The following is a 26,595-nucleotide window of genomic DNA, read 5'->3' as shown; positions in this document are numbered from 1 at the left end:
TGTGCAATCTTCTGTGTGTTTCAGGTGACCCAGGCCCTGCCAGCTATGGCAGAAATGGCCGAGACGGTGAGCGAGGCCCCCCAGGGGTGGCAGGAATTCCTGGAGTGCCTGGACCCCCGGGACCTCCTGGGCTTCCCGGTTTCTGTGAGCCAGCCTCCTGCACCATGCAGGCTGGTCAGCGAGCATTTAACAAAGGGCCTGACCCTTGAAAGGCTTACTGCTGCATGGCTGTCTGCATGAACCACGCCTGGTGAAGGAGCCTGGGTGAGAAACACCATCCAAAGCTGGGGCAAAGATGATTACCTTCAGCATGATTACAATGTATTACCTTCAGTATGATTACAGAAGTCCTACTTGACAATCACATATAGAAGAACGGTGCTATTCAGTAAGTTCTCTTTCCTTTCCCTTGGAGGGAAGACAGCAGAGTCATCAGTTAAAAAAAAAAAAAGAAAACCAAACACCTCCCTTGAATAAATTTATACTCCTGTTCCCAGGATCTTGAGCTTTAGTGTGCTATACCTATGTGTCTTATCGTGGGCCACTGTGCCAATAAACAAAAACAACTGTTTGGTTTACCTCAGTTGCAGTAGTTATTTTCATTTAGAAGTTGTTCTCAGATTATTGTTTCAGTTATATAGAGGATTACTAGACTAGTTATGAAGAAACCCCACTACATTCAATGGAATTGGTGCTTAAAATCTCATCGATGTGCTGTCTCTGGAGTGATAAGAAAGGGCTACATCTCCCGAAATGATTTCTTTACGTCATGTATTGGTTTCCTTCTTCACCTTGAACTTTTGTTGAACTGTATGTACTTTACCCCAAACCTGTTAATATTTTGAGCGCTTCTATGTGAAAGCAAAGAAATAATTTTAATACTCTGGCATTCATAAATTTTATTGATGAGATTATTTATTTTAAAGGTTTGAGGTAACATCTCTGGTTGTACCAAAGAAGAAATAAATATGGTTTCTTAATCTCTTGCATGTTTTCTTATAAATAATCATGTTCAATGAAAAGAAGTTACTGAGCTTATTTAGATACATTAAACATTACTTAACTACTGGTTCTATAGGTGTATGTTTATAATATTAGTGTTTTTTCTACATAAAGTAATTTAAAAAGCTGTTCCACAGAGGGTGTTACCCTGTGACAGATGCGTATGTGTGTGTGTGTGTGTGTGTGTGTGTTTTAGTGTGTATGGAGAGAGCTTCATGGACCTTTTCGAAATGTTAATTCCCTAGAAAGATGTGCAGCTGCATGCGCATCTATATTTTTGTATAGTATTTCAGAGATTTCGTGGACTTTTTTAAGTCTAGCCTTGCTTTATTTCTAGGTTAAGAACCACTGCCTTCATTCCAATGGCTTGTTAGCTCCCTCCTACTCAGAACTTTATTGTAAACATGATTTATGTTTCACCATTTCTTGTAAATTTTATAAATGCAGCTCAGCTAAAGCACTGTATTCTTAACAAGTATTTCCTGACCACTTAAGCACTTTATTATTATCTGTGTAATCATATTGGCTTGCTGTTTCATTAACATCTACTTAACTATCCAACAGACTTAATATATTCATTTTATATCACAGAGCCTGTGAGTAACCTGTGCTGGGGCATAAAACAATAGCTCAACATAGTATCTTTAGTTAGTTTATGGAACTAAATTCTGTCAAGTCAAAGGAGAGTGAGCCCTAATATAATTTTTTATATATATTTTTCTCGTGTGTACTTTTATACATTTTAAATTCTAGTCCTAGTTGTTTGGTTAAATCAATCATTATGTAATCTGTATTTGGATTTCTTTAAAACTGCTTACAGCATCTAGTTTTATGCTTCTAGCATGAATTTTGCTTAAGAAGATTCCAACTTTGCCATATAGATCAGTGCTATTTACATAGACTGAAAGAATGTTCTTTCCCTTTTTTCAAATATGACTTTTGAAAATAAAGGTCTCTGTTATAGCTCCCTAAAACAATCCTTAAAAAAATGGCAAACTTTTTCAGGAGCTGTGACACATAATTAAATAAAGGCATAGAAATTATCTTTTCACCAAAGTGCTTTTATTTTAACTAGAGTGACATAATCAAATACAATAAAAGAAAAATTAGATAATCAAACATGTTTCTAAGTTTTATAATATTCATAAGAAAATTAAAAAAAATAAAATTTCAAAGAACAGTTCACTCAACTGTTTTACAAACCTGGTTATGTAAAGGTTGTACAACAAGCTCCACAGATACAGTCAGCAACATTGGAAACAAGCACTTACAAATAGATTATGCAAAACTACCACATTCCAAATGGCAGGAAGAATTCGTTATAAATTTCAGTTAAGTGAAGTAGTTTACAGAAGCAGAAGACACTTGGCTTAGAAATTGCAAGGAAAAGAGCCCAGCAAATTCCCTCCATGAAAGAGAGTTGGTAAATGTTGAATCTGACCAAGCATGTCTCTCTAGCAAAATAGAAATCTCAAATCCTCTCTGAGATATTTTTGAAAGTTGGATAAAGTGGCAACTAGAGCACTCACTGGGAGAGGAGAGTGTAAATAAATAAAGTTGGTTTGAACCTGGCATGTTAATTAAGGGCAAATGATTCCTGATTTATTTCTAGCCGGTGCTTCTATGGCAGTATGATATGATTTTCAACCCTAATAGCTGACAGGTTGGTTAAGAACTGTGGAAATCACTTCCGAGACTGACTGAGCACATAAATTCCCTGGCATGGTTTTGGGTAATTGGCTTCTGCACAGCAGAAGAATATGAATGAGTAGTCATATCAGGATAGATGATCGATTTGATTATTTGGATACTTTACATTTCAAGCTGACTGAACCAATATCGCTATTCTTAAACATCATTAGTAAAATCTGATTTATTTGCCAACTGAAATAAGCTTAATATAAATTCCTGCTGTAGAAGATCACCTCTATTGTGTTTTTAAAATTTTTTGGTGATTATAGTGTTTCTGAGATACAGTCTCTGAGTTTAAAAGTAAACCAAGGCTGGGCATGGTGGCTCACGCCTGTAATCCCAACACTTTGAAAGGCCAAGGTGGGAGGATAGCTTGAGCCCAGGAGTTCGAGACCAGCCTGGGCAAGACGGTGAGTCTCCTGTCTCTGTAAAAATAAAAACAAATTTAAAAATTAGCCAGGCATGGTAGTGAGCACCTGTAGTCCCAGCTACTCGGGAAGCTGAGGTTGGAGGATTGCTTGAGACCAGGAGTTTGAAGCCATGGTGAGCTATGATCACACCACTGCACTCTAGCCTGGGCGACAGAACAAGACCCTGTCTCTAAAATAAACTAAGTAAACCAACATAGGTGGAAAACCAATAGAAATTCTGATTTCCAAATATCAAGAAAATTACTTAAAAATATTTGCTGGTAACCTGGCAAAAGGAGTGAAAACTCAGTATTAAGGAAAAAATACTAGCAAACTAGCAATCTTGCTGTTTATAGAGGGGTGACAAACATAAATGATTTTAAATATCTTTTTAAAAATAATACTTGTGTTCAATAAACATAGGTCAAGCCCTTTTGTGCAAAGTAAAATAAATACTTTTCAATTGTGTAGCCTTCTTTAGTGAGTTGTGATCCAGGACATGGCAGTATAAAGTACCTATGGCTCAAGAACTATTAAATCAAAATGGGCTGACTGTAGTAATGCCTGTCTGTAAATACACACGCTTAAGTGCTCTTTAAATGATCAACGAGAGGAAGTGTAACATATTTGATTGATCTGGCTATCAGGAAGAGGATGCTGCTAACTGAAAATTACTTTTAGTCTTAATAAATGGCAATTCATGCTAACTCTCTGCTTAACATGCCTTCACAAATTACTTTTGACTCCAAGTTATCAAAACATAGCTGGAGAGAGAACAAGGGAGGGAAACTGTCTCAAACAAATTACCTCTCTTTCTGAGATATATTTGAAATTCCATTTTGTCTCTTAAGTTGAAAATATGTGTGTGAAAAGACAACAACATTCTTTAGAGAGCACCTAGTTAATTTATCCAAAGGGGGCCTGAAGATAGGAATAGTTAAGAACTATGTAAGTTATTACCCGGTATAGGTAAACATATAAATCCTCTGGCACGTTTTGATGCAATTAATTTCTGTTAAGAAAACCTGCTATGTATTTAACTACTTATTGCCTATTACCTTATCACTCATGGTGTAAAAGCTTCTATGGATGAGAAAAGTTAATTGTGTTATTTCTTATCTCCCTCAGGGACCTCTATAGCAAAAAGTCTCAAATGATTTTAGTGAGATGATCACTCTGGGGGACAAAAGTCCCAAAGGACTGCCTGCTTTTGGGCTTTTGATTCTGCTTATAATTCTCATCTGAAATAATTAGACTAGGCTTTTTATGAACTGCCAGGGAGATGGGTGACAAACTTGATTATTTCAAGCTGAGCAATGATTCATGTGACAAAGAAAACTATAATGATGGTACAAACATGAACCCTGCAATAGACCAATTAACGTTCCTTGGACACCTGTGGGGCTCATGGTTAGCCAAGAGTGCTTCTGGAGCATCCCCATGGTTGACACCAAACAAAATGGACTGAAGTGTGGAGCTTCAGCCATGGCAAGTGATGAAGAGTAGATATGGCCTTAATAATTGCACCTTAGATTTCCCTGACATAGGGTCAGAACCTTTATTGCTGAGATAGGTGACAAGCTCATTATGCATAATGAACATGTAGGAATCAAGGCCTCAAAGCATTATGCCCATGTGGGATTTTGAATAAAACTAATGCCATTGCACTTAACATGAGTATATTCAATTAAATCGTAAAGAGTTTGATGAGGTAAGATAGAGAACAAACAAAATGGGGGAAAACACACCCTAAATGTTATTTAAAAATAAATAGTTGTAAAATACACCCAATACAACCTGAATTTAAAGACATTAATGTGCTGAAAAACATTTATCTCCAAAATGTACTTTGCATAACACAATACAATAAAAAGTTGTAAAATAGCCAGCATCTTTACTTACACCCAGAAGCTTAGTATGGTCACACAATACACACACTTCTGATAAACTTAAATCTTATTTACCCCCTCATTTAGTGAAGCCTCCCACTTTATTAGTATTCACTTTTGACAAATTCATGAAGCAAGTAGCTAACTCCTCCAGTTGTACCACATCACTCACTATTGGATCTGAACACGCAATTTTTTTTCCATTTAGATTTTCTTAGACTTAGCTTTGGTCTTATAAGCTTGTCTTATCTTTCAGACAAATTTTTGCTGTGCTGGGTCTACTTGTCCGAATAAGTTTTCTCTGTGTTCACTTGGTTCTTCATTCAATTTAACCAAATTGATCAGTTACTCTAGCATTATTTTGTTGAGTAAAACGTTTGGATTATAGCTCCAAGTATGCCACACAATAAAAATGATGACACTCATCTGTCCTATTGCCTGAGACTTTTAGTAGTTGAATAAATTTAAGATAATTAATGCTATCTTAACCAGCCAACTAATAAATGAACACAATTCAATGGACTAAGTCACTTTGAATTACATAGGCATACAAGATACAAATTCAATTATCTTCTGCATCTCCTCCTCTTCAAAGCCTGCATATAATCTTTGTGAGCAGAGATGGTACAAAAGGGGGATGGTACAAAAATGTGTCAACACTCAAGTATTAAGAAATAACGCTGGGAAACTGCGACAGTAAACACTTGTGTGTCTTCAGAAGGTGGATACAGACAAGTATGAAAAATAATTTAAGAACAAGAGCAATGGACAAATCTGCAAAGCTTTTTTGAGTATTCATTAAAACAACGTCAGCAAAACACTTAACAGAAATTCTCAATCCCAGTGTATTATTAGTGTTATGAAAATAAAAACGGTACTTAAAAAAAACAGTGTTTCTAATTGTACTTTTGTAAATAGTGATGTATTCTAGAAAAATATAAACGTTATACAAATATAACTGTAAAATTTTAAGTACACTGAGCAACATAGAGTTTAGACATTGTGTAGTTTTATAAATTGTCTGCTTCTTGTGATAAGCTAAATCTTTTTTCTTGTCTGTTGAGAGTATCTGTCCTGTCTAAAAAGTAGGATAATTATTTAGCTGTCTTCATATTGATCACTAAAATATGAGAGTGGTGTATAAACAGTTATGACTAGTTAATCTGCATGTTAACTAAGTGTATAAGTACATATATATCCACCAAAGAAATAAAATCAAAACAGTCAACAAACCAAAGGGTACTGTGCCTGTTTCATAAAGATGCTTAAAATTAGGAAAAACATAAATTAACAAAACAAATTAACAAAAATTATCTACAAAAGTTAAAAAAAAGTGCAAAGGCAAGAGTCTGATTTAGTTGTCCACTAAACTGTTCGTAGCCTTGTATTTCTGTTAGTTTGCTCAGTTCTTCTGAACAAATTGTTTTAAACACCATCTTGTGGACAAATGGAGGTATATCACAGGTTCCCAACAGATGAGACAGACTGCAGAAAGGCTAAATCTTACCTAACTCATAAAACAGATTCATAAAAATTACTTTATAAGCCAAATATCAAATGATAATTTTCACAGACAACGTATTTTAATATAATTGCTTAAGTTCTTTAAGTGACTAAAATTTTAAAGTTTAAACAATACCATGAAATAGGGAAATAAACTTATGGGGTTACTTTGCTCACAAAGTGAAAAGTTTAAAAGGTTAAAACTTGCTGTGTTTGTGTTACGGTTAGAAGTAATGGTTACTGCCTTCAGTTGGAAAGAACAATGAACAAATCCATGAATTATTCTTCTGTTTTTCTTTGGATTCCAAAGGCCATAAATATGAATTGAAGTCATACTTTAATCTTTGCATAGAAAGACTTCTATCTGAAAGTGTTTTGAACTTGGTATAAAATGTAAGATTGGAACTCAAACATACTTGTATATGGAAATCACAGTTTTAATATTAATCGTCGTCATGGCCCATAATTATTTTGTATTTAAACATGTATGTTGTTTTCTGGAGTGCAAACAAGAGTTATTCATGAAATTGAATAATTCTTCTCCCCTGCTTTGAACATCATTAACATCTATGTGGAAATAAACACATGTTTTGGAATGGAATAAAATGGTGCAAGGGATTTGGCAACCATCAAGTCATTTAGAGGAAAACTTCCCACCCTACTTTGGGGCCCAAATTATTTAGTTTCTTTTTATTAAAGGAATTGGGCAACTGCCGAATCTCAACTTCATTTTGTGTTAAATTAGGTGGACCCAGCATTTCTTGCTGCCCTTTGTTGCATATCATGTGTACAGAGCTGAGGCAGGAAAAAGTATCTGAAGGTAAATAATAGAGTAGGGTGAGAAAGGCTTGTACCATGTGGATACAGCCTTGTTTCTCTAGTTACGTCAAATTTAGTCATATTTCCCAGTTACAAAAAATGAGTTTGTGTCATTGTGACAAGTCCACTTTGTAATATGCATCACACAATATTATATTTCCCCATCCCATCAAATTACCTGAATAAATCCAAATCCTTGAAATAGGAATTAACCAGTCAAGCCTTAATGGTATTTAGAAAGATTTCTAAATATACAATTCATAAGAAAGAATGCATGACATATTTTGTAGAATAAAAATGAACAGAGTTAATAAAACAAGAAAATGAATTGTCTTTTTATGTCTATGACAAGAACAACTCAAAAACCAAAAAACAAAAAAAGTTGATTACCATCAGCAAAAAAGTCCATGAAAACATTAAAATGATAAAATAAATATTTTTAAATTAGCAAACAGGCAAAAAGATAAACAACCTATTAATATGAAAAAATAATCTTTGAAAACATATAAAATATTTAGCTTTATGACAAATTCAAGTAAATTAATATGAGTGGCAGATAAGTTGTAAGCGTTTAGAAAATTCAACAAATTAAAAGCTCAAGATATACACATAGCACCAAATTTTAGATCTATGTACACTTTTTCGGGATAAATTACCATTTTACTAAGAAAACACATACGTATGTCCCAATTGTGTAAGTTTAAAACACAGCACCATTGTAGGTATTGCACAAGAAAGAAAACGAAAAAAAAAAAATCAATGTCAAAATGCTTACAATAAATAAAATAACCTTGGAAAATAAATAAACTTGGAATTGAAATATACAGCATAATTCAATATGAAATACCTAAAATGTTATAGGTATGCACAGCCATTGTAGACAGTACCTGACCAGCAGTTCATTAATCTATAATGAAAACCGGTTCAAATCACGGATGCATTGGAACAAACCCTGCCTTAAATTAGGCACATTCCTCAGACACAACTCTGTTCACAGCTTTTTCCAATGTCAGTGGGCTAGCCTTTCTAAACTCATTTTTCAGTAAACAGACAAAAGCAATCATCCTGTTTTAGCCAAATTGAAATCTGCACTGCTCCTTGAAGAGCTGTGAGTCCTGATTGCTGTGGCTGGCAGGCTCTTGCAGCATGTTCTCACATCTGTGGGACCCACCATCTAGATTTCTGCAACATCCTCATGCCCAGTGTTCTAGAGAATCAGTGCCTGCCAATCAACAGTTCCTCAATGAATGTACAGCTAACCAACAGAAAGACTGTTTAGGCATTTGATGATCACTGTATTTTTGTTTCTTTTCAGAGGACATGGTTTTAGAGTGGGTGTGAACTCTTTGGTCTGAGCACTAGTTGCATATCCAGTCCTGTGGTTTTCCTTTGTTGAGCTGTACCTCTTGCTGCAGCTTCTGGAGAAATACAATTCTCCTTAAGAGCTTTTGGGCTTCACCTTCTTAACATGCATTTGCTGACACTACACATTCATCTTCTAGGACAAGTGAGTCCATTCTATACGTATCCCATCCTTTGTTTTGATGGTGGCTTCTTGTCTTAAAGTCTGAGGGTGATGAGGTCATAAGGATAATGGATACAAGGGCCCAAAGATCTTGCTAGGCCACTGAAGCTTTAAGAGTACCAAAGACAGCTTGGTGGCTTCACCACCAAGCACCTTGTAGGGAAAACAGCTTTCTGTTTACCAAATGAGAGACTGAGTGAGGGGACCACAGAATATTAGGCTTTTTTTGCAGAACTCATACAAAACTGGAATTTGATACTCCCTTTTCATGCAGTACTTATTCATGCCAGTGGTGATTGCTTTGAATTGAGCTCATTATACAGAATTAACAAAATCATTTCAGTAGTTGGCTATGCTGGGTGTTTGGGCTCCCTGATAAAACAGTTTCCTGCATTTTTTTTTTGAAAACATAAATTGTAAAATGAAGTTCTTATTGCCTATTTTTCTGCATAAGTAGGATAGATGTAGATGGTATAAAAATTCTTAAGTTATAAAAAGTAGTCAAAAAACATTCAACAGGAGCAATGCACTATATCAAAAAAGTTGACGAGATGTTTAGCAATGATAGTAAATTTAAACACCAAGGAAAAGATAAGTCTGAAACTTTAAAATTCAGAAATCAAAGGCCAACCACATGTTGATGAGTCTACAAAATGGATATCATCATCAGTCTACTAAGTCACAAGATGCAATTTCCTTTTGAAGAAGAACTAACGATAAGATTTACTTGCATATTTCATATAAAACTCTGAGTAAAAATCATAGCAATTGTAAAGCAAAACATATGGAATGAATTTGGGAAAAATCAAAAAATGCTGATTTGCAATTGCTATAGGAATAGGATTCAAACGGTTGCTTTTAATGCCTGGCTTACTCCCAAAAAAAAAAAAAAAAAAAAAAAGCAACCCACAGATGATGAGGGTTTGACGGTATTAAGAGAGCTCCAGTGGCAAGGAAATGTTACCAGGAACCAAGTCTTCTTCAGGTGTGTTCAATTCCCACCTGTGCGCTGATGGGCATGAGACACAGGATAGAGGCAATCTTCTGGGTTACATCTTCCACTGGGTCCTGGGGGGCCCTGTGGGCCTGGGGCACCTGGTGAGCCTGGCAAACCCAGAGCTAACGACATAAAAAAAAAATTACAATGCAGATCACATATGGCCCTTCCTCTCTCCCACCCTCTAGCCAACATGGATCACTCGACTTGACATATAAGGACCCTAGGGGAGAAGCATGGTTCTAATTTGTAAAGGCTTGCTTGTGTTGTGAAGACAATATCCCACTTACCTGAAGTCCCAGGAAGACCTGGACTCCCTGGCAGCCCAATTCCAGGTTCACCTCTTTCTCCCTTCTGTCCTCTGTAGCCTAAGTGAGAAATATATAAAAAAGAGACACACAAAAAGGGTTCTATGGCAACACAGCACAGAGAAGAACCATTTTCTGAGTCTGTGATAATTATGTGATACATTTGCTTAAAATAAATAGTATATTAGCTAACTGTTTTGCATTAACCACATATTAAACTTACATATCAAACAGATTGGGTATAATAGGGCAATGAGGATCTTAAAAAACATGCAATTACTATAAAAAGTTCCAACTAGTCAAACTTTTTTTTTTTTTTTTTTTTTGAGACAGAGTCCTGCTCTGTCACTCAGGCTGGAGTGCAGTGGCACTATTATCTTGGCTCACTGCAACCTCCACCTCCTGTGTTCAAGTGATCCTCCTGCCTCAGCCTCCTGAGTAGCTGGAATTACAAGCACTCAACCACCACTCCTGGCTATTTTTTTTGTATTTTTAGTGGAGGCAGGGTTTTGCCATGTTGGCCAGGCTAGTCTCGAACTCCTGACCTCAGGTGATCTGCCCGCCTTGGCATCCCAAAATGCTGGGATTACAAGCATGAGCCACCATGCCCAGCCCCAACTAGTTATACTCTTGATAGCGAGATTTTGGCTCTGAAAATGACACCTAAATAAATCAATCTTGCAAATAGCTATGACAAGCTGTGTGAGCCCTCTTCAGTAGGAATTCTGATTGAAGGCAAGGTATAGGCTAAATGAAAGAAGTATATGGAAAGAGTCTTGCTTAAAATGAGAACAAGATAATATAATAGGAATACGGATCTTATTCCAAGAATTAAAGGAAATGAAAGGAACAAATAATTCAAGATTCTAATAAATGATAGCAAGAGCATGAGTATATGTGGGTTAACTCATCTAAAAAGTCAGGTCTGTGTTCAAATGATCAACTATAAACATTATATCTTCTCTAAGTAACGTTTAAACATCCACCCCATGTTTGAACATGGCAGTGTATAACTCCAAAGGAGCTTCAGCAAAGCTAGGAAACAAGAGAGGAGACTGACAGTCTCCCAAATGTACTTCATCAACTTAAGATATTTTAACCAAAATGAATTAGGTCTAAGATCTGTCTATATTTTAAAACAAAATTATTCTTACTATCTAATATGCTTGCTATTGGCTGAGCTACAAGAGTACAGAGAAATTTGTGTCTCTGGAAGTCATTATCCCTGCTTATAAAAAGCATAAAGCATTTTTATCTGCATTTTATATATTGGCACCCATGTAATACTTTGTTTGAATAAAAGGTTCCATGCTGTAAGAGTTTCACAGTGATGGCAAATAGAGTTTTTATTTCCAACTTTTTCATACTTAAACAGCCCCTTAAAGATCACTCCTTGTCCTAAATGGACAGAGCAGCCATGCAGACTCATGTGGACACACAGCAAAGATATCAGTAGGAGAGCATCTCAGTAGGAAACAGTAGGCTGTGATTTAGTTGTGCCTTTTCATAAAGGTGTGCTGTTACAGTAGAACATGGCAGGAGGAGAAAATGTAATGCTCCCTATGAACAGTATGTATGATCAATTATTTCCCATTATTGTTGAGAATTAGATAGCAGTTTTTAGATAGCAGGGGTTATCATTTTCACTTTGACTAGGTCATACAATGTACACATTATTATCTGAACAACATTGGCAATGTAATCACCACACAGGTATTTATTTGCTTTTTATGTAAGACCTGATCATAAATGTGAAACTAGTGGAAAAAAGAATATATGTTAAAAATATTTTGAAGTATATAGTAGAAATACACCCACCAGCAGGAAACCTTCACATATTTATATTTGAAAATTGTGTTAAAGATATTCAGTACAATCCTAGACCCTAGAGAGAACAGTGGCTTTGACATGTGACATAATAACCATAGTTGATCTATATTGAAATTTAAAATGTTTCCAGGATTTCTTTGATATAGGTGACTTTCATTTAACGTATGTGAACAGCAGGAAAAAAATGTATATACTTAGGGTCATTTGAAACCACCCTCCCAAATCCATTACTTAAACATTTCTGGAGTAAAATAATATTTATTTCCTGAGGTATATTTGATAGTTTAACTCAGGTCCCACTATTACAGAAAAGTTATAAAGTTGATCCTCAGCTATCTCGGTAAGTACTTAAGATTACAGGCTAAAAATATGAGGAAGAATAATAACTGAAGATACATGAACTTTTGATTAATAAGAGGATTAACAAGAGTGTAACGCAATTCCAAATGAAGAATATATTGGCTAAAACTTAGCGATTTCATTTAAGTTCAGCTCTCAGATTTGCAATATAATGCAGAAATATATTATTCTGCATGCATTTCGGTTCATGTGGTATTACAAATTAAGAAACTGTGATTCGTGTATTTGCATAAGGTAACATTTACCCTTCTCCTGTCAAATGTAACAATTTCCATGTACAAATTTCTCAGTTCATTAGGTTAATAATTACCTGTTATTAATAGATAAAGCGACTGAATTGCACAAGTACTTTCTACTCTTGAATTTCCTATTAAGGTCCCAAGCTCATTCATTATGAAGGCTGCCATAAAGCCGTAGGGTTTTTTTTCTTTTTTATCATTACTTCATAACAAAACTCCTTGTAGGAATGCTAACAAGGTCAATAACAGCTTTCCCCATTTATAGAATTAAGCTTTTCACCTCTTCAGCGTGGACCTGTCTTTAAATTTGGAAGAGGCTGGTCTATCTGCAAAGAGACATGTATTTCCATATACGATAAGTCTACAGGATGGGCAAGGCACAGTGGCTCACACCTGCAATCCCAGGACTTTGGGAGGCCAAGATGGGTGGATCACCTGAGGTCAGGAGTTCAAGACCAGCCTGGCCAACATGGTGAAACCCTATCTCTACTAAAAATACAAAAATTAGCTGGGCATGGTGGTGGGCACCTGTAATCCCAGCTACTTGGGAGGCTGAGGCAGGAGAATTGCTTGAACCCAGGAGGCGGAGGTTGCAGTGAGCCAAGATTATGGCCATTGCACTCCAGCCTAGGCAACAAGAGTGAAAATCCGGCTCAAAAAAAAAAAATTCTACAGGATGACAGCTTGATAAAACTGCAGCTCATGTAGGAAAACAAATAAAACACCAGCAGTGTCCTAATTGAAAGCATCTAGAGGTACTAGTCATTGATGAAACCTGGTGCTTGGTGTAGTTTTTCAGGTGGTAGACTGTGTTTATTTCCAGTAGGAAGATTTCAGTTTTGACTCCAGAGATTTACTTCTAAAGTTGTAAATCTGTGCGCCTGTATACATACCGGAAAAAGGCCAGTAAATGGATGCTATTGGCATTTTAGGAGGGATAGTTGTTTACGGTGGGCATGGTGGGGGTGGGGTTAGGGGTTGCCTCGTGCCTTACAAGTTGTTTAGCCTCCCTGGTTCTACTCCACCAATTGATAGCAGTGCCCTTCAGTCATTTTGACACACACACACATGTCCTCCCATATCCAAATGCCCCTAATGCTACTAAATTTGAAAGGTCAAATCTATACATCACAAGTGCTTCCTACAAACAGTATGTATGATCAATTACTTTAAAAGTGCACAAGTAAGAACAACTATTCCCACTACTGTCCTTTTGGAACTGATGCAGGGTGCATGCGATGGATGTAGCTGTTTTTTCCTACTGACCCCACATGTGAGTTTCCTTCTGAAATGAGTAGGGCTTTAGGTGTGGTATCTATTCCTCGGGTGGAATAGGTGATGGAGAATCAGCTGTGTTTGAGAAGAAGTTTAAATGAAGTGTTTTCTCATAAAACTCACTCGAAAGAATAACGTCTGTTAGGAAAATTTGCCTCTCCTGTTTATATAGGGGAACTCAGCTGAATCATGCTTCTTGGGGTTTCTTTTATTCTGATGTGGCACATTTTAGCTCATACCCGGGAGAACCAGCCATGAGGCCCTGTGCTGCAAGCCCCAGGTGGGAATGGACACCAAGGAAAGTTCTCTCAAGGCACAGCAGGAAGCCAATACTCAGAACCCCATGGGACGGCTAAAATCTAAAAGCTGTCTGGAAATGTTTTCAATTTAAAAAAGACATCGACAATCACCCCTTTGGAAACATTAGAAAAACTGCAAATGAAGTGATGCAACTCAGAATCCAAAAGGTCTTTCTTTTCACTTTAAGAAGGTCAGGGTGCTGAAGGCGGATCCTCAAGCTTTCATGATCAGAATCTTGGTAGGAGCGGCTCTTCCTTTTTTCAATATGAATTGTGTACCTCTCACAGTCTGACGTCGATTTTCTCACTGCTTTCTATACGTCTCCGGCTTCTCAGAATAAGCACAGGAAACCTTATGAAACCCCTTTATACTTTTGTCCTTTCCTAAAGATAATAAAGGACTCATTCCATAGTGCACATTTCAAACCAACCATTTAATTTTAATTTTACATTTCAGATTAATTTAGTTAAGCAATATTTAAGATGATATATATCGTCAAATTGTCCTAAGTGGAACAAAGTTTTTTGCCAATATAAGCAACTTTTGGTTTTAAAAACTTTAGAAAACATAAGAAAAATTATTTAAAGTTCAAAAGTTACCATCCACAAGCTCTATTAGCAGAAAGGTTCTAAAATTTCTTAAAAATGTATTTCAGAACCAAATGGATTTCTTTCCTGACAAACACTGAAAACAAAACAAAACAAAACAAAATGTCTCATCTAGAAATTTCAGAGGAGCCACCATCAGACAGGATGAATGAGTGGCAGAACACACTGTGTCACATTCAGAAGCCATCTTTTCTTCCCAACCTATGTTGCATTTCTGACTTCAACCCTTTCTTAAACTCAGTCATGCTGTGTCATTAAGAGGACTAATTCAGACAACAGCATCCGAGGTTTGCGTGGTCACTGGTGATTTTAAATGCATTTTTTTCTTTCCTTTTTGGAAAAAAACACTTAAATTGAGCAGAGCAAAGCTTATAAGTTACATGTATAACTTCATCTTCTGAGCATGTCACACCTATTTATGTACTAGAGAAAAACACTTCAATTTCCTGTGCACTTCTCTAGAGGCACCAAAAATTAAACAGCAGCCTCTCATTTTCTTTCTTTTCAGTGAGATTTCTCTGTGCCTTTAGGCAGGATTATCAGTACAGCATGCCTACTGTACTGATATTCCTTAAAAACAAATATTTTTAAGAAACACATATTCCTTAAAAATGAATTCTATGTTTTGCAATTTTTATTTATTTTTTGCTAAATTTTAGGCAAATTTAACAAATACTGAAAAGAAAGTATTATGTAAAGGTTAAGGAGACATATACTAAGTTGTAGTCAAGATATGTCTGTTGTCAGAAACCCAATGGGGAGACAAAAGTTTTGACAATTTTAGTAAACCTTGGTTCACAAAAAAACTGGAAATCATGTGGGGATATCTTCCAAGTTTAAGAATTGCATCCAGAAGCCCTATCAGGAGTAGAAGTAGTCTATAATATCTTTGAGGCACAAGAGCAGATGAAATCCATAGAAATCCTTTGCAAAAGGAAGGGCAAGTGGAGTGGTGAACAGAAGGCTTGTTTCCAAAAGCTTCACTGACACTGTGGGTTTAGAATTGCCTCTGACTGACAGCCTTCCAAATGGGCCTTCGCAGCACCTGTGAGGTGTCTGAAGCCAGGTGTTTGAGTGGAACAGGAGACCCCAGTTCCAGAGCTGTTTTCCTTGATCATCTCAATTTTCCATTGTTCTTGTCTTCTCAAACCACCACTGTTTGAAGGATCTATCCAAAGTTTTCTTCCTATTGGTGTTAACGCTGCTTATTCTTCACGTGGCTTGAGGCATTACACATTTTCAGATAAGCTTTTGAGATCTGCATGCCAGTCTCATATACTCTGACTTCAGAATAGACCCAACCAGCGAAAGATAATAATTAGCCCCCTCTACACAATAGTGTATACATAGAGGGCTACTTCTCATCCTATACTTTTCTCTTTCCTTCATCAATCTGCCAAACTTCACTATAATCTAAAGATAATGGTGGAATATATGTATCGTTTAAAAAAAACTAGAGAGATTTTAACTGTTCCTGTTTTATATTGTGCTAATTAAACGCAAAGACTTGGCAATCATGGTCATAGGTTATAAGGTTATATTAAGATATATATACTAACAGGCACTGCTATTGGGAACTGAACAGATGTTGCTCTTTCAGAAGAGGAAGGGCACATCAGTCACCTTGGGACACTTCAGAAAATGAGGCTCAATATTACAGAATAGCAGTAGGAAGGAAACTGGTGACAGAAAAACACTTCTTTGCATATATATTATTTTGGACTGCATTCTTATTTAATTTTAGTGTTAATTTCCACTTTTCTTTCTTTATACAAGTTGCTTTTGATTATTTCAAGGAAGGAACCTGAGATCCTCCATGGTTAACAATAAGAAGCAGTTTTCCTGGTCTTATCTTTCATGATATATATTCACTGAATTTAATATTTCCCTTTCAGAGTTGTTGACTCTTCTAAGCCTGGGCCTATTTGGCCACTTTGCTGGATTGCTAATCATATTTCTAGCAAATGGCCTTGTCAGATTAATTTAGTTAAGCTATACTTAAGATTATGTCTCTCGTCAAGTTGTCATAAGTGGAACAAAATTCTTTGCCAATATAAGTTGGGTTTTAAGAACTTTAGAAATCATGTGAAAAATTCTTTAACATTCAAGTTACCATCCACAAGCTGTATTCAAAGCAGAAAGATTCTAAAATTTCTTAAAAATATATTTTAGAACCAAATAACTATTTGTCGTTGAGTCACCTAAAACTCTTTCTCCAGTTTATTTAAGACACTCAGATGATGGAGACTTGCTTAACTTACACCAAAAGGGGAAGCCTAAAAAATTCTAAGATTCCTAGATAATAATGATATATAAGCACACATTATTGCTGTTATTGTTATAATAAATATTATTTTTACAATACATTTAGAATACCAGGTAACTCTCATTTGGTTTTAAATTTGAAGTAGTAATAGTTAAACATCTACTTCTAGAATGTCAAATATTATAAAGAGATTACATATGAAACCATTTTATATATTGCATATATTTATATATGTAATGTATAAATAAAGGACATACATACATACTTTTTTCCTTAACTGTGACTAACATGTTATAAATACAGAGAGTTAAAAATCAATAAGCCAATATTACACTTGAAGACTTACCTTGGGGTCCAGGGTCTCCTGGTGGCCCAGGCAACCCATCCTTCCCTGGTGGCCCAGGTCTCCCATAAGCTTGGGCAGCCAACATTGCTGCTGGCAGCTTGAGCTGGGATAGGAATACAGCCATCCTCTCTTCATGTATAGAAGAAAAAATAATATATCATAGAACAGAAATATTTTATGTCAAAAAATTTCAAAATACATGAAATCAAACAAACAAAAAGATTTAGTTTTTAATTTAAGCACATCTAATTTACCAACTGGTCTGACTGCTGAGTTTTTTGATTAGACAAATAATATCGATTGCAAAGTTGTTTGTGTATAGATGCAGACCAGCTGTGTCACTCAGAAAGTCTGAGAATTTTCAGTGCTTCTGAGATGTAACAATCTAGTGGACAGAACACTAGCATGGAATCTAACCTCTGGTAATGGCATGTGGAGAGAGTTTAGGTTCACATTAAAAAATGATTTCATAATAACTTTAAGGCACTTTCCAGGAATGTTGTGAACGTATGTGTGGTGATTTAAAATATATTCATGAATTCTTTGACACTGTCTTCCAAAGTTGGAGTTTAATTCTCCTAGTTTTGAATGGGGGCTAGACTTTTCATTTCTAGTGAAAAGAAAAAGGCTGAATTAACAGTGGGCAACTAGAGAGATGAGGTCATAAAAGACATCGTGGCTTCCTAGTTGCTTTCTCTCTTAGATCACTCATTGGAGGAAGGCAGTTGACATGGAGTGAGGTCACCCAAGAAGTCCTGTGGAGAGGCCCATGTGGGGAAGAACTGATGCTACCTGCCAGTGGCCACGCACATGAACTTGGAAGCAGATCATCCAGCCCTAGTCAAGCCTTCAAATGACTGCAGCTCTGAATGACATCCTGACTGCAACTTCATTAGAGATCCTGAGCCAGATCCATACAATTAAGCAACACTTCAAGTCCCTGACCCATAAAAAATGTGAGATAATAAACATTTATAATGTGAAATGTAAGATAAATGTTTTAAGCCACTAAAGTTTGGAGGTATTTTCTTATGCAGCAACAGATAACTAAAAAAAGCATATCGAATATTTTACTACTATATGAAATTAATTTTGGTAAAATCATTAACTCATTCCAAGGCCATTATAAATACAATCTATCACTGGAGTCTTTCTTAAAATTGCTTGGTTTGTTTATATTTAGTATACCTCACATTTAAAAAATCTAATATATGAACAACTAGATTTCAAACAGAAAACCTGAGGAGGCTCTATCCTTGCCATGACAAGAAGTTAATCGCATTGTTTTTTCTTTTTCTTTTTGCATAACTTCTTCAAAAATCTCTTAGTAATTTAAATGGTTTTATTTTAAAATAATTTACACACAATTTTTCAAAGACACTTTTGTGTAGTAAGAAATAAATATTCAATTTAAAAACTTTAGTCTGGGTTTGGTGCAGACAAATCTTCCAGAAAAGTTTTTTTTACTGAGGAAATTAGTATTTATTTTGTAAGTAAAGACCAAATGACAGACAACAACGCAGTAGAAACGATAGCCGTCAGTTAGAAAACACAAAGCCCAAATGATATAGGTCTTGTAAAGAGTTACTTCCATGTTCTCCAGTCTTTTCATTCAGTTTAGTTGATTTAGTTGAATTGCAAAGGCATACTTAAACAGATATGTATCTTTTATTTTATGTAAATTTTTAAATAAAGAGTAAATTACTTCTGAGGAAAATCTGTTTTCCCATGAGTTTTCAATTAAAACAATCATTTAAAAACAATGTAGGCCCATACTGGTTAAGAAAGAAAAACAATTGTTTTTTCATATAGAATTATTAAGAGAAAAGCCCCAATAGCTATAGAGCATTAGCTGACATTATCCGAAAAGTAATCACCTACATTCACATTCTCATGTCACAAAGCATGCAGAATGGAAATATACCACAACCCGCACAGGACTAGAATCTCTGGCTGCAGACTGAAGGATGAATGGGAGGCCAACAGGGATCTAATGGATGCTGGTCCCAAGGAGTGATATGAAATCACCTGCCCTCGAGTATCACTACCTCACTATCTACCTGGGATGTGTGGTTGATATTACTATATCTTATTCTAGTAATTAATAGATAAAACAAATAGGTAATTAATATATAGTTTTAGTTTTACAAATCATCATACTGAATGTACATATAATATCTTTATTACATCAAATTATGAACTTGGGGCATTACAATAAATATGAAATTCAATAATCACAGTTTGAATATTTGCTGTTCTGCACCTCAAAGAAGAGATGTGTTTCAGTACAATTTTTCTTTCTTTTTTCTTTTTTGAGATAGAGTCTCACTCTGTCACCCAGGCTGGAGTGCAGTGGCGTGATCTCAGCTCACTGCAACCTCCGTCTCCCGGGTTCACGCCATTCTCCTGCCTCAGCCTCCCGAGTAGCTGGGACTACAGGCGCCCACCACCATGCCCGGCTAATTTTTTTTTGTATCTTTAGTAGAGACAGGGTTTCACCGTGTCAGCCAGAATGGTCTCGATCTCCTGACCTCGTGATCCACCCACCTCAGCCTCTCAAAGTGCTGGGATTACAGGCGTGAGCCACTGAGACCGGTCACAATTTTTCTTAATTTGAAACATGTCTGTTTAAATACCTTCAATGTCGAAACACAAATATTCACAGTACTAATTTTTCCTCTTTAATATATGAATTGAGTTTAGAAGTACTTTGGTGGTTTTTAATATTTTTAGCAAAACAGATAATTATTTTCACTACTTCTAGCTGTAAATTATCTGGCTTTGAAATACACTCAGAAACAGTCATTTAGCATAAGGGTAATTACCTCTTCTGAACCCTACCCTAATGCTCTATAATTTACAATAATATGTTTCAGAGCATCCAGATGAATTGTAAAGGCCTTTATTCTTAATTGCTTTTCCTCTGTTTTCAGGGATCTTCAGTCAATTAAAATGTTTTTGGCTATGCTTTCTAATGAGGCAGGAATTGAAGAGTTCCGATATAAGCATGCATAAACCAAACACACATTTTCCATCTGCCAAGGCAAAGCCACAGCAGTCACTCTAACAAATGAGACCAAGGCTTGGCTTCCTTGGAGAATGGGCTCCTTAATATAATACAGACATTAATATTAATATGATGATAAACTACGTATTTTAGAGAAGGAAGGAACACACACATGTCATCTGGCCCATGTCTATCTTCTATTTCACAGACAAAATTTGTAAATATTTCAAAGACAGAAATTCTTCTCCTCCTAATGCCCATGGAAATGTCTAATTATCCATTTTCTTGGTATAACTTCAATTTATTTTATTTTGCTACCCCATTATGGAAACAGAGAGCAGTTAATGAGTATTTCCCTTGGGAAATCAGTCATATTGTTACATATTAGCATTCAGGTTAAATAACTTTTACTCATAGGCTTCACAATCTATTTTGTAAATCTCCTTTTGGTTCCATTATTTCAGGGCTTTTCCATAAATGTCTCCTAAATGTGGAAACCAAAATTAAATATAGTTCTCTCCTAAAGGGCAAAAATATCAGAAGAGTAATTTCCTGTGATATTTTAATAATTATATTCTAGTTTCATTTTTCACTGTTAATTCAACAGCATCATTTGGTGGATTCATATTTATTTTGTGGTTCATTATGACCCAAAGGTGGTTACTACTTCACTTGTCTCTGTCTCAATCATTTGCCACCTTAATGAGTATGTTGCTTTGAACTATCATGGGTAAAGATGGCGGATTAAACACATGGATCTGCTTTAACTACCTCCTGAATCCTAGCAAAACAATCCTCCTAAAGGCCTAAACAGACAAGAATGGGGGAGCATATGAAAGGAGACAATAGCAGCACAATTTTGGAAGTTAAGAACCAGACGGTTGAGTGATACATTACTTAACAAATGCAAGAAAACTAAACTCTTAGACTAGAAGTAGAGGAATAACTTGACCTAAACTACAAAATCCTCAGAAGGCTCAGAATTGGCAGTACAAGTTACCTCTGGAAGTGGGGGTGAAAGAGGGGAACTAAAATAAGGAGCACTGATTGAAAGCCTGTTTTAGTAGTTGTTGAAATTCCTTTCTCTATACAGCTAGGCAGGTGCCTCTCCCCATCCCTAGCAAAAGACTGAGGGTTTATTATTATCTTAAAAGGGTAAGTAGTCTGCCTCTGCATGGAGGAGCCCAGACTCCATTGAGACTCAGGCTTCCAAACTGAAAATCTGAAGTAGCTAAGCTCACAGCCAGGCAGGAAATGGAATGTCTCCACTGGAGAATCTGACCAGACTGAGAGTAAAGACTTAAAGACACTGAAATTAAGGGTCCCTCACTTAAAAAGCCCATCTGGACTACCCTAAGTGAAACTCGAGGTTGGCAAGCCCCACTGTTCGCTCACAACTTTCAATCGGTTTTTAAAACCCTGCTCTTATGTATGCAGACAGCCAAGGATTACTGGACACTGAGGAAATCCTACAAACTGAACAACAGAGTTGCAACCAAAAAAACAGAAAGAAGCAAATTGGAAGAAACAGAGACTATGTGGTGGAAAATATATTTTTTAACTCTTTATATATATATATATATATATATATATCATCAATGATGTATATTTATCAGATGAAGTGTATATAACAAGTACATATATACATACATAAAAATTAATATCTTAGTTGTAGAGAGGTAAGAAAAGATGTTACAACTTTGGGATAAGAAAATAGGATCATACATATTTACACACATTCATATATATATGCATATATATATATGAAATATATGTATGAAATGCATATCGAGAAAACATAGGTAAGGGGATTTTCTGAACACTGGAAATCTGGAGGCAGAAACATTGTTCGGGAATACTTAGCCCAAATCTTTCTTTTCTCCCACAGCTGGAGGTGTGGGCTTATTGGTCCCATGTTTGACTCAAGAACTTAGAGAGCCAGATGTTAGTACACATTTCTGCAAAGGTTGGTAAATTCTTCCTGCATGTTGATGTAAATTCCCAAGCATAATAGGACAGTGTAATAGCAAGAATTAAACTTCTCAGATCTGGCAAGAGCCTCATTTGTGTGGGCAGCATCACTGGCAGCTGGGAAGCCCTTCTAAAGCCAAATGCTAAGCTGAGACACATGGATGGCATCTGTCCTTGTCCTGTGTGGTCACTTTACTAGCAAAAGGACTTGACTTGTTGGACAATCAAATTGGGAATTTAATTGAACTTCAGAGAGGATATATATTTGTGCATAGTGATCAATCTGGAACCTAGACTTGGGATTGGTGAAAAGACACCTCTTTCCACCACAGTTAGGTTTGGGAAGGGGCACCAGGATGTTGAAGGGAGGTTAGGTGGCCTGGAAAATAGATCAAGGTTTGAGATTTGTAGGGTATTGTATCACCAGGTGGGTCACCTGGGAAGCCCCAAAGGGGTTAAAAAGCCACAAGAGGAGAGCCCAAAGTTTGGGTCATCCTGGTCTAGGGTTTCACTAGAGGGTGTAATCTGGACACTTGGGATGATAAAGTTGGAGAGCAGGATCTTCCAAGGACTCCTTCGAGTCCCTGCTGACAGTCTGCGACTTGCCGCTCGGAGACAATGGCTCTCGAGGCTGCAGATGTGCAGGGATGCGTGCAGCAGAGATAGCATTAGCTGTTATTGACACTGTCTCTTGTGAAACCACTAAGAAAAAGAGAAGGAGACGGGTGCTACTTAACTGTAGCAGTTAGCTGTCTGTACTACTTAACTGTAACTGTTTTAACATGTGAAAATTAATCTTTGCTTTTAGAGAAAAAACTTTCCGAAAATGGTAATTGTGACCTTGGAGCTTTATGATTTGTGAAAATGGAGTTTTCTTTTTTCTTTTTTGTAAATGGTGTTCAGAAGCCATGGAAAAAGTGATTTCTAAGTGGAAAATTAAATGGAGTGAATTGAAATGATCTTGGGACAAATTAACTTAAATGCTAAATAACTAAATTCTGGGTTTCAGGCACAGTTTTGTTTGGGAGAAGACAGTTTTGCTGGACTAGTGTCAAGAGAGACAAAAGGAAAGGGCTATCACACATGGAGTCTTAGAGTTTAGAAGTCTCAGAAAATAGTTTCCTTATGGGTCGCTTTAAAATATTGTCTTAAGGCTAAGACACCTGTGGTTTCTGAGGGAGTACTGGCTCTGGTGGGGGTCCAGCCACTCACCTGGACCTGGCCAGGCTGGAAGAGACAGAGACGCAGTAAGAGAGATGGGTGTGAAGCCAGAGACCTGGGGAGGACTCTGCACCTGTCAGCTTCCAGGCAGGTGGGCTGTGACAGAGGAAGGAGGGGCAGGAACTCAGAGAGGAAGGATCCAGACCCAGAGGAGGAGCTTCTCAGAAAGCAGAAGTCTGGTGAGCCTGCCCCAACACAGATGGAGAGTGGCCCAACTCCCCTGACCTGCCTCCTCTGAAGACTGATAGCCCTTCATGAGAGTAGCCACAGAATGGCCTGGGAGTGGGCAGGACGGAGCCTTCCCCAGGAGGGAGTAGAAGTGTCTCTTTTGCTGAATGCACAGGGCAGGCTGCCAGGGGCCACACCTTCATCCAGTGTCTGATGGACTTGTAAAACGAACACCTTCTATATCTCAACATGTCACTTTTTTTTTTTTCTGAAAATGCTTGGTTATATTTTCTGACATTCTTAATCAGCTTCCAAAAAGATGGGTTAATTACTGACTATTAAATATATGATTTTATCTAAAGCCTCTTAAGAGACTGAAGTTCAGTATTAAAGCTCTCTTAGATAAAAGATAAATAAAGACACTACAGCCCATAGGGATTAAGAGTTAAAGGAAAACTTTAGATTGCAATTCAAAAATACACATACGCTGGCATTTCTCTTTTCATGGTTGAGGTCAACTAAATGCATGGATACTATCTGAGATTCTAGATGTCCTGTCCCCAGGACTAGCATGTCCGGGCTACCTATGCAGTCACATAGGGCCCCATGTTTAGTTTACGGCTTTACTATTGCTGTCTTAAAATTCTTAATCATTTTTTAACAAGTGTGCCAGCATTTTCACTGTGCACTGAACACCGCAAATTATGTAGCCATGGGTATATTCTTCAGTATTCCCCTGAAGAGCTTGAGATGTCTTTTTTCAAACAGTTGCCTTTTTTTCAAACTTCCTGACGGGGAAATGAGTGTTTGGAAAGCAAAGTTTAGAGTCTAGTCCACAATGTTTGATTCAAGGGTCAAAAAAAACAAAGAAAGAAAGAGAGAGAGAGAAATAAAGAAAGAAAGAAGAAGAAAGAATGAAAGAGAATGAAAGAAAAGACCTCAAAATTTAAGGGCAACATTAAAATTACTGGTAGCTCAACAAAAGAGTGGACAAATGTATTAGTAAACTGTCATATCAGAGCAAGATAAAGATACTTAGTGAAGATCAAGGTAAATTAAAATCAACAGCATAAATTCACGACCTTTAAAAAAACATTTTTTGCCAACATGGTGAAACCCCGTCTCTACTAAAAATACAAAAATTAGCTGGGTTTGGTGGTGGGTGCCTGTAATCCCAGCTACTCTGGAGGCTGAGGCAGGAGAATCGCTTGAACCCAGGAGGCAGAGGTTGCTGTGGGCTGAGATCGCGTCATTGCACTCCAGCCTGGGTGACAGATGAGACTCCTCAGAAACCAACCAACCAACCAAACAACAACAACAAAAAACCCCATTTTTTTCTGTTTTGTCATTAAAGTAGCTACAAGTCCCAGTGTTACTCTACTGTATTTCTAGTTCTCATATAAAGTAAGATAATGTGCATCCAAGCACCAAGATTTCAGTCTCTACTGCTAATTATTATTTAAAATAATCAAGACTCCTTGGAGAAGACCTGAGTCCGTGTTTGAAGCAATGGAGTCAAGATCGACTTGGGGCATCTTATAATCTTATTCCTTAAAAAAATTCAACAATCTATTTTTGGCTTATGGATGCTAAGCAAAGGAAGTAGGAACCATGAGAACCAACATGGATTCATTTGTTAAATCTTACAGTTCAGAAGAGTAATCTTGATTTTAGCAAACCATTTGTCAAAATCATGTGATACTGTCAATTCCTTGCAAATAGACAAAGAAATGTAGGGTGAGTTTTAGGACAATGAAATGGATTCAGAGCTCACTAAACAATAGATTAGAAGATGATTTACAAGTGGACAGAAAGAATCCCATGGCATTTGGAAAGACCTAATCCTTGACTCTTGGCTTTTTTAGTCAACATTTCTATCAACAGCTAGAATGATGACATGCTTATGAAATTTAGCATGACACAAAGTTATAGGGTCAGCCAACCTGCTCTTCAAGAGACAACATTTCAAAAGACATCTTCAGGTTGGAACAAGATATGAACACAAATGATTTGAAATTAATAAGAGGAAACATAAGATCACACACTTAGATTCAAAAAATAAACACACAGTCCATAATGAGAAACACCTCATTTAAAAATATTTTTATAAGGAAGATCCAGGGCTGTTAGTTAACTGAAAACTCGTAATGAATCAACAGAATAATATGGATGCTTTTTTCCAAAAAGCAATACATCTTAGGATGAATTATTGAAGTATCTAGAGCAGGGGTCAGAACTTTCTCTGCAAGGGCCAGATAGAAAATATTTAAGCCTTTATGTACCATATTGTCACAATTGCTCAGTCCTGTTGCTGTAGTGGGATAACAGCCAGAGAAAAGAGGCGAAGGAATGTGCATACTTTATTTATGGAAACAAATTCAAATTTCAGATAATTTTCACATATCATGAAATATCTTTTGATTTTTAAAAACCGTTTAAAAATATAACTCGCTCCCACTGCTCCCTACCAAAAAGCAAAAACCATTCTCAGTTTGTAGGCTGTACAAAGCAGGTGGCAATAGCTTTGGCTAGGGGGTACAGTTTGCTGACTTTGGTCTAAATAAAAAGACACTACTCTGCATTGGTCAAAATATTCCTTGGTAAATGAGAGTCATTTATAAATTAAACATTTCCCAGGGGTGATAATAGTGGAGGAGCTAGACACATTTACTCCATAAAAGAGAAAACTAAGGAGGAGTATGAGGGATATTGAAAAATACTCAAAGGGCTGTCATGTGAGTACAAGCAGGTACTTTACCTGTGTTGTTTTACAGACCAGGTATAATGAAAGGAAGTTCCAGGGAGGCAAAAGTTAACTTTGTATAAAGAAGAATTTTCATCAAAGAGCTGTCCCATCAT

At 36.6% G+C, this 26,595-nt stretch overlaps 2 protein-coding genes across 17 annotated transcripts in view; one reads left to right on the top strand and one right to left on the bottom strand.

The window, feature by feature from the left end:
- Positions 1-2,045, top strand: part of COL9A1 (collagen type IX alpha 1 chain) — an 88,024-nt gene extending 85,979 nt beyond the window's left edge. For 9 of the 10 annotated variants that reach the window (NR_165185.1, XM_011535429.4, XM_017010246.3 and 6 more), the window contains one exon: positions 25-2,045. Coding sequence is in view for 9 of the 10 variants with exons in the window: in XM_011535429.4 (XP_011533731.1) it covers positions 25-209 (185 nt within the window). In the remaining variant the exon portion in view is untranslated. The remainder of the gene's footprint in view (positions 1-24) is intronic. The other variant, NM_001851.6, reaches the window with a different exon arrangement.
- Positions 4,638-26,595, bottom strand: part of COL19A1 (collagen type XIX alpha 1 chain) — a 345,913-nt gene continuing 323,955 nt past the window's right edge. For all 7 annotated transcript variants that reach the window (NM_001858.6, XM_047418188.1, XM_011535437.3 and 4 more), the window contains 3 exons: positions 17,370-17,498; positions 10,128-10,205; positions 4,638-9,959 (listed from right to left, as the gene is read on the bottom strand). In NM_001858.6, the coding sequence (NP_001849.2) occupies positions 9,832-9,959; positions 10,128-10,205; positions 17,370-17,498 (335 nt within the window). In that variant the 3' untranslated portion in view covers positions 4,638-9,831. The remainder of the gene's footprint in view (positions 9,960-10,127; positions 10,206-17,369; positions 17,499-26,595) is intronic.

The sequence above is a fragment of the Homo sapiens genome, chromosome 6, assembly GCF_000001405.40.
Source record: "Homo sapiens chromosome 6, GRCh38.p14 Primary Assembly".
Taxonomy (NCBI): Eukaryota; Metazoa; Chordata; class Mammalia; order Primates; family Hominidae; genus Homo; species Homo sapiens.
The sequence above is the reverse complement of the archived record's forward strand: the minus strand, read 5'-3'. Positions and strand labels throughout refer to the sequence as shown.